Source organism: Homo sapiens, chromosome 6, assembly GCF_000001405.40.
Source record: "Homo sapiens chromosome 6, GRCh38.p14 Primary Assembly".
NCBI lineage: Eukaryota > Metazoa > Chordata > Mammalia > Primates > Hominidae > Homo > Homo sapiens.
Window position 1 is genome coordinate 55103924 of NC_000006.12, and position 12108 is coordinate 55116031.

Consider the following 12108-nt stretch of genomic DNA (forward strand, 5'->3'; position numbering starts at 1 on the left):
TAAAATGGGATAAAAAAAGGTGTTTGGAAAATTGTTTTTGCTTAAACTCTATAGAAATATGTGTGCTATGAACAGAAATGTGGAAATTAAATGATGAAACTTGGGTAAGTGCAAGGGTTGTTAAACTCAAATGTTTTCAAGAACCAGTCAAGCAGTAGGCAGGCATAAAGCAGGCTGAGGGAAGGAGGAAAGAGAATGATGGGAGGCAAGGAGGAGCCAGTTGATATTCAGCTTCAGCCATTGGGAGATAGAAGTAATCAGATCATCTGACTTGCCAAGAGAACCTAAAAATTCAGAGATACTCTCACTTTAACTGTTGGTAAATAATTCATTTTTTAAAATGTTAACACTGTGTGCTCCAAATAAAGTATTTCCATGTGCTTTAGGTAAGCTTTGGGGAATGGTTAATGATATCTGGCCAGGAAACAAAGGCCTTTGGTTAGGTTCTATGGCATTACTATTAATTCAGTGGTTTTCAGGCGTCGCTCTTGATGGGACTCAATGAATTCCTATTTCACAACTCAAGAAAGCAAGAACAAAGGAAAACAAAACCATTTACATGCTTTTTTCTTGTCCTTTGAAGTTCTGAAATATATTGCAGTTTTGAGTGGCTTTCTAAGCCTTTGTATACAATCTCAAATGGACTATATTATACAACCTAAGTTACTCAGACATCTATTTTTTGATATTTTTGATACAAATTCAGTAACAGCTTTGATATGTATGTTTTGTGATGATCTGCTGTATACATTTAGTATGCTTTCTTTAAATGTCTGAAAATACAAATCCATGTTATATAAGGGATACTATTTTGTAGAAATATTCAAGTAGAAACAAATATAGCACATCCTCTGGAAAAAAAATGTATTTACTAAGCAAACATTTCTTTCATAGAAAGTATTAAAAGATGAACTGGTTTGCATGTTAAAAGAAATGGCTTCCTTTTTATATATTAATGGAAAATCTGAAAGATATACATTTGAGGGAAGAAATACAATGACTTTAAGATCATTGATTTGAAAATCCTGTATCTCTCTTTCTGTTAAGTCCATATTTAAAAATGATAGTTTCACCATATGTCTTATTAGAATCTCTTGACTAATTTACACTACCTTTTAAATGTAGCTGCAACTTTAGGGACATATGGTTGTTATGGGGTGGAAGAAATTACTCCCTATTTTTATGCCCTTCCTTCAAATTTGGGATGGATCAAAGAGAAACATAAGCAACAATAATAATTATGCCAGTAGCAATGCCTCTTAATCTTTTCCGTCAAGAAATGCAAGACTACGGAGACAAATGCACATCTCTGAAAATTTCTTTGAAGTTTTATCACAAAATGTGATATTTTACAATCTGCTCTATAATATAAATACTTTATTATCTTAAATGAGTTACCATAAAAACAATAAAGTTTCCTATCCATCTCAGGGAGTTATAGAACAAGGTTTTTCCTGTAGTTAGAACAGGGAGTCAAACATCCTGGGTTCAATTTTGTCTTCACCACTTACAGTCTTGGGCAAGCCACTTACACAATTGGGAATGAAATAGTATGTCCTACATACAGTTGTTCTCCCTTATATAATTAGGAAGAAAGCAGCACTTACTACATAGCAAGTGTTGCTCTGAAGTTTCACTGTAACGTCACATGCAGAACTTAGCCTATTGCCTAGAACAATATTAAACCCCCCTGTATGGATCAGGCAATATTTTATGTGAATTTCAGGCAACTGAATTTTCATTTCATATCATTTGCAGCTTCTTGGAAATTCCTACTATCTATCTAGGTATCATACTATTTTAAGAGTTTTGATGTATATACATGTATGGATTCAAATTATATCATATTTTCACTGATTAATGAATATCTCATAGTAATCACTGAAGAGAAGTATTCAGCATAGCATTTACCAAAGGATAGGGTAAAGCAATATTTTTAGGTTACTGCTGAAAATATCATTAGAAATATCTTCCTTTCGAGAGTAGAGTCGCACATATATATGAGAGTAAAATGGTTTTTGAGCAACCAGTTAGTATTTTCTATTGGTCAAAGGAAATCCCAGCTCAAGTGCTTTCCTCAACTAAATCAGATTACTAATTATGCCTTTTTTAATGTGTAGATTAATATACTCAAATTACTTATACCACTGCAAGAAGCTTTCTAGATTGAAATCTAAAATTCTGTCTTCACTGGAGTGGTCTTGTTAAGTGTACTTAAAAAAGAAAAGAGAAGAATATTATTATAATGCCTTGTAGTGTTAATGGAAATTCAGTCTTAAAAAATTCTGCTGAGTTTGTCAACTATGGACCATTCTTCACTCTTAAAAACGCATGGAATTACTCACCTCCTATAGCTCTTACCCCTTTGTGCTGACTATTTTCTCCCACGGAGACAGATATTAATTCAACCTTGAGTTTAAAAACTCTTACCAGCAACTTCCCTGCCAACCTATCAGAGCACAGCAAGATCTCAAGGTTACTGCTTATGTAATTACAAAAGATCTTATTACGTATAATAAAAGTTACTGTTTTCAGCATTCCTTTTGACTCACTGAAACAAATCAAGAGGTGAATATATTGAAGTGAGTTATTTTTAGTGAAGGTGGAATTTGAGCATTCAAGGTATGTACTTTAATTCATTTACTCTATATTTTTTCTATTTATTCAAGTCAATTCAATAAATATTTATTGAATAGCAACCATGTTTTAGAAATCGTCCTAAGGAATATTCTGATTTATTAAAGACAATTTATTAAATATTTTGCCACCATTTTTCAACTTTTTGTTAACCACCAAGCATTCTACAGATTCCGTTTTCTCAGACATCATCATGGTAAATATATGAAGCTAGTCCTGACAAAACCCTGGGTTAAATTCAGCCTATGTGCTGTTATTTTATACAAATCTTTTGCACATGCCTACATGCCCCTTTTGCTCATATCACTCATGTAGGCTGTAAAGGGGCCTGTGTTTAGCTTGTTTATTGAAAAAGATACTTAACGTTTTCAATCTCAGACAGAGGTGACTATCTGTAATTCAAGGAGTCATGAAAGCACCTTCTAGTGTGACTCTCCAAGGTGATTGTAAGTGATTGCTATGACTGTCTTTCTTTTCAAGGTGATTCTGCAAGTGATTGCAAAGGGCACATAAGCAAATTACTGCTTGCTGGTTTATCTACATTTGTCATTTTCTTACTTTCCGTGTAGATGTCTTGTTTGTAGGTGCAAAATATTTTCTGGTAATTATTCTTTAAAATTTTATGATTTTTAAAAATTGATCATTTATAAAGTCTTATAGCATTATCTTTGAAATGGAAATGAGCATGCTTGAAAAAATATTCAAATACTATAAAAGGATATATGACTCAAAGTAAGTCTTCTTCCTACTCTGACTTCTTGCCTCCCAGTTCTTTGCTCCCCAAAGCAACTCCCGTTACTAGCTACTTGTTTTCGGTTTCAGAGATAATCCATACATTTATGAATATATAGGTATCTTTATTTTTATCTCTGTCTCTCTGTCTCTTTTCAATATATAAAGGGAAAGGCATAAGGCATAAGTACTTACTTACTATACAAATATATGTATTTCTCCCTTTTTTTCTCCCCATAGGTTCTGTAACATATACACTATAGTTTCTCCTTGACCTTTTTAAAAATTGGCAGCATATTTTAAAAGGTCTAATCTTTAAAAAAATGTATATATTAGTATTGTTGCAAAAATAATAGTTTCACAAAATGTTTGACTTGCTTCAGTTTCCTTTCTTATCAAGTTTTACACATACATAAATTTCAAACAATAAGAATAATATTTTAAATATACATCCTGGTATAGTTTTGATTTTCTAAATTTACTGCTGATTTTTACAACCATCTACTCATTGTAATTAGATGAGTGCTTATATCATTTTCTGTTTTACTCACAGTCAGCCTCTGGAAGTATGCTATGACTATTGTAATACTTCATGGGTGTTTCTAAATACCCTTCATAATTTTGTGCATATTCATTGCTTATGATTTGCTGTGCTTAAAATTTTCTATTTTAAACCACCTATCCATACTTTTGGTTGAAAATATAATAGCACTAAAATCAGAAAAGAAAAAAATTGATACATGTTAACTTTTATTATTATCAATAAATTCATGATGATAAGAGGTAAAACTAAATGAAATTTTAAAACTGCATTTAAAAATTGTTTTAAAACATGCTACATGAAATCAAACTCCTATATGATAATCAGTGGTTTTATTCTGAAGGCAACTTTTTTTATTGCTTCATAAGGAGATAAACTTTATACCCTTCAGATCGGGAAAATGGTGGATAGGAGGTAGGACTAACTTGCAGCTCCCACTCGGATGGACAGAACAGTGGGTGGAGACTCACATTATGAGCTTTTGCTCCAAGAACTACCACAGGAACATACCAGTAAAACCAAAAGAATTCACAGACCCTTTGAAAGAAGCAGCTTGTTGCTGCAAACTCCGAGAGACAGCTGAAAAGCTGTGAGTGCCCAAAATGTGAGATGGGGAAAGTCTACCTCTGAACACACATCCTCACCCCAATTCATTTCAGCTCTAGATAAGGTTAAATTTTTCTAGGTAAGGTTAAATCCTTCTAGGTTAAATCCTTCATGAGAGAGAAGGATTTAACCTTACCTAGAGCTGAAATGAATTTAGAGAGCTGAAAGGAATATAAAAGTAGAAGCAGCAGCAGGAAGAGCCCTGTAGGCACTTCTGGCCCCTAAGGAAGCCCAGGGAACCCATTTCTGACTTTATTTCACAGGTGTCCTTGGGGAGGGCTGCCAGTGGAATTGGGGAAAGGCCACAGGGAGAAGAAAACATCTGGCTTTTTGTAATTTTGTAATAATTTCAACAGAGTGCAAATTTTCCAGGGCAGAACTGGGGGGTTGGGGTGAAGGGAGAGAGCACAGAAAGCATTGTGGGGAGGGGCGAAGCCTGAAATCCTGCTTGTTTTCTCAGCAGGGAGGCTTGTAGCCTGGGGCAAGTTCCCAGCTCCACTCACTGGCTGCCTGCATATAAACTCGGTGCTGTTGAGGGAGCATGGCAGTCCACCTCACTCCCCTCCTGCTACCTCCACTGGAGCAGGTGCTGGTATCCACGGCTGAGGGACCTGAAGATTGATCATATCACAGGACTCTGCAGACACTTCCCAGTACCAGCCCAGAGCCTGGTAGCTCCACTGGGTGGCTAGACACAGAAATAACAATCACTGCAGTCCAGCTCTCAGGAAGCCCCATTCCTAGGGGAAGAGGGAGAGCACCACATCAAATAAACACATATTGGACAAAAGAACTGAGATCTTTTCTCTGTCATAATCTACCCAAATGAGAAGGAGTCAGAAAAACAATTCCTGTGCTATGACAAAACAAGGTTCTTTAACAACCCCAGAAGATCACACTAGCTCACCAGCAATTGATTTAAACCAAGATGAAGTATCTGAATTGCCAGAAAAAGAATTCAGAAGGTCAATTTTTAAGCTACTCAAGGAGGCACCAGAGAAAGGTGAATACCAACTTAAAGAAATTAAAAAAAAAAGTTATAGGATATGGATGGAAAAATCTCCAGAGAAATAGGTAGCATAAGAAACAATCACAACTTATGGGAATGAAGGACACACTTGTAGACATGCAAAATACCTGGAAATTCTCAACAATAGAATCAAACAAATAGAAGAAAGAATTTCAGAGCCCAAAGACAAGGATTTGAATTAACACAATCTGATAAAGACAAAGAAAAAAGATTTTTTTTTTAATGAAAAAAGCCTCCAAGAAGTTTGGGATATGTTAAGCAGCCAAACCTAAGAATAATTGGTGTTCCTGAGGAAGAAGAGAAATCTAAAAGTTTGTAAAACATATTTGAAGGAATAATTGAGGAAAACTTCTCTGGAGGTGCTAGAGACCTAAACATTCGAATACAAGAAGCTCAAAGAACATCTGGGAAATTCATTACAAAAGGATCATTGCCTAGGCACATAGTCATCAGGTTATCTAAAGTCAAGAAGAATGAAAGAATCTTAAGAGCTGTGAGTCAAAAGCATCAGGTAACCTAGAAAGGAAAACCTAGCAGATAAACAGCAGATTTGTCAGCAGAGACCCTACAAGATAGAAGGGATTGGGGTTCTATATTTAGCCTCCTACAACAAAATGATTATCAGCCAAGAATTTTGTATCCAGTGACTAAGGTTCATAAATAAAGGAAAGATAGTCTTTTCCAGACTAATAAATGCTGAGAGAATTCGCCACTATCAAGCCAGCACTACAAGAGCTACTAAAAGAAGTTCTAAATCCTGAAACACAAACCTCAAAATGCACCAAAATAGGACTTTCTTAGAGCATCAACCTCACAGGACCTATAAAACAATAACACAACAACAACAACAAAAACAAGGTATTCAGGCAATAACTAGCATGATGAATAGAATAATACCTCACCTCTCAATACTAACACTGAGTGTAAATGGCCTAAAGGCTCTACTTAAAAGATACAGAATGGGAGAATGGATAAAAATTCACCAACCAAATACCTGCAATCTTCAAGAGACTCACCTAACAGATAAGGATTTATATAAACTTAAGGTAAAGGAGTAGAAAAAGATATTCCATGCAAATGGACACCAAAAGCAAGTAGGAGTAGCTATTCTTATATTAGACAAAACAAACTTTAAAGCAACAACAATTAAAAAAAAGACAAAGAGGGACATTATATAAAGATAAAAGGTATAGTGCAACAGGAAAATATCACAGTCCTAAATATAAATGCACCTAACACTGGAGCTTCCAAATTTTTGAAACAATTTATAGTAAACCTAAGAAATGAGATAGACAGAAAACAATAGTGGGAGACTTCAATACTCAACTGAAAGAACTAGACAGGTCATAAAGATGGAAAGTCAACAATGAAACAATGGACTTAAAGTATACCCTAGACAAACAAACTTAACAGACATTTACAGAACATCCCACTGACAACTGCAGAATATACATTCTATTCAACTGCACATGGAACATTCTTCAAGATAGATCATATGATAGGTCACTAAACAAGTTTCAACAAATTTAAGAAAATCGAAATTATATCAAGTACTCGTTCAGACCAGAGTGGAATAAAACTGAAAATCAACTTCAAAAGGAACTCTCAAAACCATGCAAATACATGGAAATTAAATAACGTGCTCCTGAATGATCTTTGGGTCAACAATGAAATCAAGATGGAAATGGATACAGCAAAATGGTGCTAAGATGAAAGTTCATAGCCTTAAATGCCTACATCAAAAAGTCTGAAGGAGCACAAATAGACAATCTAAGGTTACACCTCAAGGAACTAGAGAAACAAGAACAAACCAAACCCAAACCTAGCAAAAGAAAAGAAATAACAAAGATCTGAGCAGAACTGAATGAAATTGAAACAAAAAACATAAGATAAATGAAACAAAAAGCTGTTTCTTTGAAAAGATAAAATTGATAGAACATTAGTCAGATTAACTGAAGAGAGACGATCCAAAGCTAAATTAGAAACAAAATGGAAGATATTAAAACTGATACCACAGAAATATGAAAGATTATTCAAGGGTACTATGAACACCTTTACATGCACAAACTAGAAAACCTAGAGGAGATGGATAAGTTCCTGGAAATATACAAGCTCCTAGATTAAACCAGGAAGAAATCAAATCTCTGAACAGAACAATAACACGCAGTGAGATTGAAGTGATCATTTAAAAATTGCCAACAAATAAAAGTCCAAAACCAGATGGATTCACAACTGAATTCTATTAGAAATTCAAAGAATAATTGGTACCAATCCTGTTGATACTATTCCAAAAGATAGAGGAAATCCTCCCTAAATCATTCTATGAAGCCAGCATCATCCTAATACCAAAACCAGGAAAGGACCTAACAAGAAAATAAGACTAAAGACCAATGTCCCTGATGAACATAGATGCAAAAATCCTCATTGCAATTCTAGCTAACTGAATTCAAAAGCATATCAAAAAGATAATCCATTATGATCAAGCAGGTTTTATAGTAGGGATGCAGGAATGGTTTAACATATGCAAATCAATAAATGTGATGCACCACATAAACAGAATTAAAGAGAAAAATCACATGATCATCTCAATAGATGCAGAAAAAGCATTTGACAAAATTCAGCATCCCTTTATGATTAAAACCCTCAACAAAATCAGCATAGAAGGAACATATCTTAGGGTAATAAAAGCTATCTATGACAAATGCACAGTCAACATTATACTAAATGGGGAAAAGTTGAAGGCATTCCCCCTGAGAACTGAAGCAAGGTGAGGATGCCAACTTTCACCACTTCTATTCAACGTAGTACCATAAGTTTTAGCCGGAGCAATTAGACAAGAGAACAAAATAATGTGAATTACAGTTGGCAAAGAGGAAATCAAAATTTTGCTGTTTGCCAGTGATATGATTGTATACTTAGAAAACCCTAAAAACTCATCTTAAAAGCTGCTAGAGCTGATCAATGAATTCAGTAAAGTTTCAGGATACAAAATCAAGGTACACAAATCAGTAACACTGCTTTACACTAACACGACCAAGCTGAGTCAAATTCAGAATTCAACCCCTTTTACAATAGCTGCAAAAAAAAAAAAAAAAAACCTTAGGAATATACCTAACCAAGGAGGTGAAATACTTCTACAAGGAAAACCTCAAAACACTGCTGAAAGAAATCATAGACAACACAAATGGAAAAACATCCCATGTTCATGGATATGTAAACTCAATTTTGTGAAAATGACAATACTGCAAAAGCGATCTACAAGTTCAATGCAATTCCCATCAAAATACTATCATTATTCTTCACATAACTAGAAATAAAACCTTCAATTCCTATGATACCATGAAAGAGCCCACATAGCCAAAGCAAAAAGAATAAATCTGGAGGTATCACATTACCTGACTTCAAACTATACTACAAGGCTATAGTCAACAAAACAGCAGGGTACTGGTGTAAAAGTAAGCATATAGACCAAGGGAGCAGAACAAATAACCCAGAAATAAAGCCAAATACTTACAGCCAACTGATCTTCAACAAAGCAAACAAAAACATAAAATGGGGAATGGTCACCCTATTCAAGGAATGGTGCTAGGATAACTGGCAAGCCACATGTAGAAGAATCATACTGGATCCTCATTTCTCACCTTATACAAAAATCAACTTAAGACAGATCAAAGACTTAAATCTAAGACCTGAAAGCATAAAAATTCTAGAAGATAACATTGGAAAAACCCTTCTAGACATTGGCTTAGGCAAAGACTTCATGACCAAGAACCCCAAAGCAAATGCAACATAAGCAAAGATAAATAGATGAGACTTAATTAAACTAAAAAGCTATTACACAGCAAGAAAAATAATCAGCAGAGTGAACAGACAACCCACAGAGTGGGAGAAAATCTTCACAAACTATGCATGTGACAAATGAGGAATATCCAGAATCTACAAGGAACTCAAACAAATCTGCAAGAAGAAAACAAATAATCCCATCCAAAAGTGGGCTAAGGACATGAATAGACATTTCTCAAAAGAAGATACACAAATGGCCAATAAACATTTGAAAAAATGCTCAACATCACTAATTATCAGGAAAATGCAAATCAAAACCACAATGTGATACCACCCTACTCCTGCAAGAGTAATTTTATCCATTTTAACCATAATTAAAAAATAAAAAAAAAATAGATGTTGGTGTGGATGTGGTGAAAAGGGAACATTTTTACACTGCTGGTAGGAATGTAAACTAGTACAACCACTATGGAAAACAGTGCAGAGACTCCTTAAAAAGCTCAAAGTAGACCTACCATTTGATCCAGCAATCTGACTGCTGAGTATCTACCCAGAGGAAAAGGAGTCATATGCAAAAAAGACACTTGTGCATACATGTTTATGGCAGCACAATTCGCAATTGCAAAAATATGGAACCAGCCCAAATGCCCATGAACCAGCAGTGGATAAAGGAAATTTGGTATATATAATGGAATACTACTCAGCCATAAAAAGGAATGAAATAATGGCATTCATAGCAACCTGGATGGAATCGGAGACCATTATTTTAAGTTAAATAACTCAGGAATGGAAAACCAAACATCATATGTTCTCACTCTTAAGTGAAAATGCAAAGGCATAAGAATGATACAATGGACTTTAGGAACTTTGGGGGAAAAGTGGAAGGGTGAGGGTTAAAATACTACAGATTGGGTACAGTGCACACTGCTCAGGTTATGGGTGCACCAAAATCTCAGAAATCACCACAAAAAACTTATTCATGTAACCAAACACCACCTGCTTCTCAAAAACCTATTGAAATGAAAAAATAAAATATATCATTCAAATTAAAAAAAAGTGATAAACTTGTTCTACACACAAAACAACACAAAATAGAACAAACAACTACCTATGTGAGCTACTTGGAAACTTCAATCCCTTTTCTCCCCTGATTAGTTAGCGTTCATCCTGCTCACCAACACTGTTAACAGTATTTCCTCCCAGTAATGCTCCTGTTTCCCTGAGCTGAGTACAATCAAATGACAATATGTTTCCACCAAATTCCGATAACCCAGATTATCCAAATATTTGAAAGCCATTCAGAATTTCTACCCTCTGTATTTGCAACATCCACCTACCTTGCACAAAAACAGGATACTAATATGGAAAAGGAAAATGCTGCTAGTTTTGCTGTCTATACAATAGTTGCTTAAAAATTTATAATTTGTCTCCAAAATTTTCAGATGATGAGTATAAAGTGCTGATGCTATAAGAAACACTCCATATTCCAATAAATTAATGCTCGTATTTTTATAATTTGACCTACACAAAAGCATTATTTGAGCTGGTTATCTAATACAGAAACATAGTGCCTATTCTGTAGAGTAGAAGATACTTACCCTAATCAGAGTACAAAGTGCAGCACTCAAGTCTAAGTTTATAATTAAAGGGTGAGTGGGTGTGGAGAAGCAAGGTTTTCACTACCAAAGACCCTTGTTTTCCAATGACACTGCTGCACTTTCAGAGGCATGCAGACATACAAATTAGAAATGTGCAAGCTAAGGTTTTGGAACTGTAGTCAAGTGACAGAGAACAGAGCTGTGGGTGAGAATTTTCCAATAGTGTTTGCAGAATTAAGGTGTACTACCTTAGCATAGTTAGTATAATCCTGAGTTTATTACCTTATCTCTTCTACTTCTGTACCTTATCATTCAAACATTTCTATCTTTCATTTATCCATGTATATTCTATTGATTTTATTAACTTATGAGTTCTCCAACCTACTTATTCAATTTTGACTCTTGTGGCTTGAGCACAGAATCTAGGTGTTGATCACTTCTAGTTCTCAATCCTAGAGATTCAGAGTAGAGACTTTTCATTTAAAAGAATAATCAATCAGGCCAAGTTCAAGTCCTTCAACTGCTAAAGTAGTTGTATTAAATTGGGCTATTTAATCAATTTTCTAAACTTCTGCTTAGTCAACTGTGGCACAAATATAGTAATATCAAATGCATTGTGTTGCTAAAGAGTGTGTGTGTGTGTGTGTGTGTGTGTGTGTGTGGTAGTAGTAGTAGTAGTACTAGCAGTAGTAGCAGCAGGTAAAGTGCTTAGCGTAGTGCCAGGAATATTCTCTAAAATGCTTGCTACCATTTTATTCCAGTGGAATTTTAGAATGGTAGTTACCATTTTTATTGTTGTTATTGTTATTCCATAATCTTTATTAAGTCAAATGGAAAGCAATTGACATGTCCACCTCAATTTTATGTAGATTTTAGTAGATTTAGGGATATCAGCTGTTACTTAATCAGAAAATGATAATAGCTGAACCATGAGAAGATGAAACATAAATAATACAGAGATATTCATTCAAACTATTACTCTAAGTTAAAATTTAAATATATATATATATTTGTATTTTTCAATTACTACATCTCTTTTGTTTGAGGTTGATATTGTTTCCATGATGTATGTGTGTAAAATATCAAATTATCTATGCATGCATATGTTTCCATAGAGCTTCAAAATGTCTCAGGTATTCAAGAATTTTTAAATCCAAATTTATTTCTTGTAGCCTCATGGG

At 34.6% G+C, this 12108-nt stretch overlaps 1 protein-coding gene across 2 annotated transcripts in view; it reads left to right on the plus strand.

The window, feature by feature from the left end:
- HCRTR2 (hypocretin receptor 2) overlaps positions 2546 to 12108 on the plus strand; it is a 178245-nt gene continuing 168682 nt past the window's right edge. For both annotated transcript variants that reach the window (XM_017010798.2, NM_001526.5), the window contains exon 1: positions 2546 to 2622. The gene's annotated coding sequence lies outside the window, so the exon portion shown is untranslated. The remainder of the gene's footprint in view (positions 2623 to 12108) is intronic.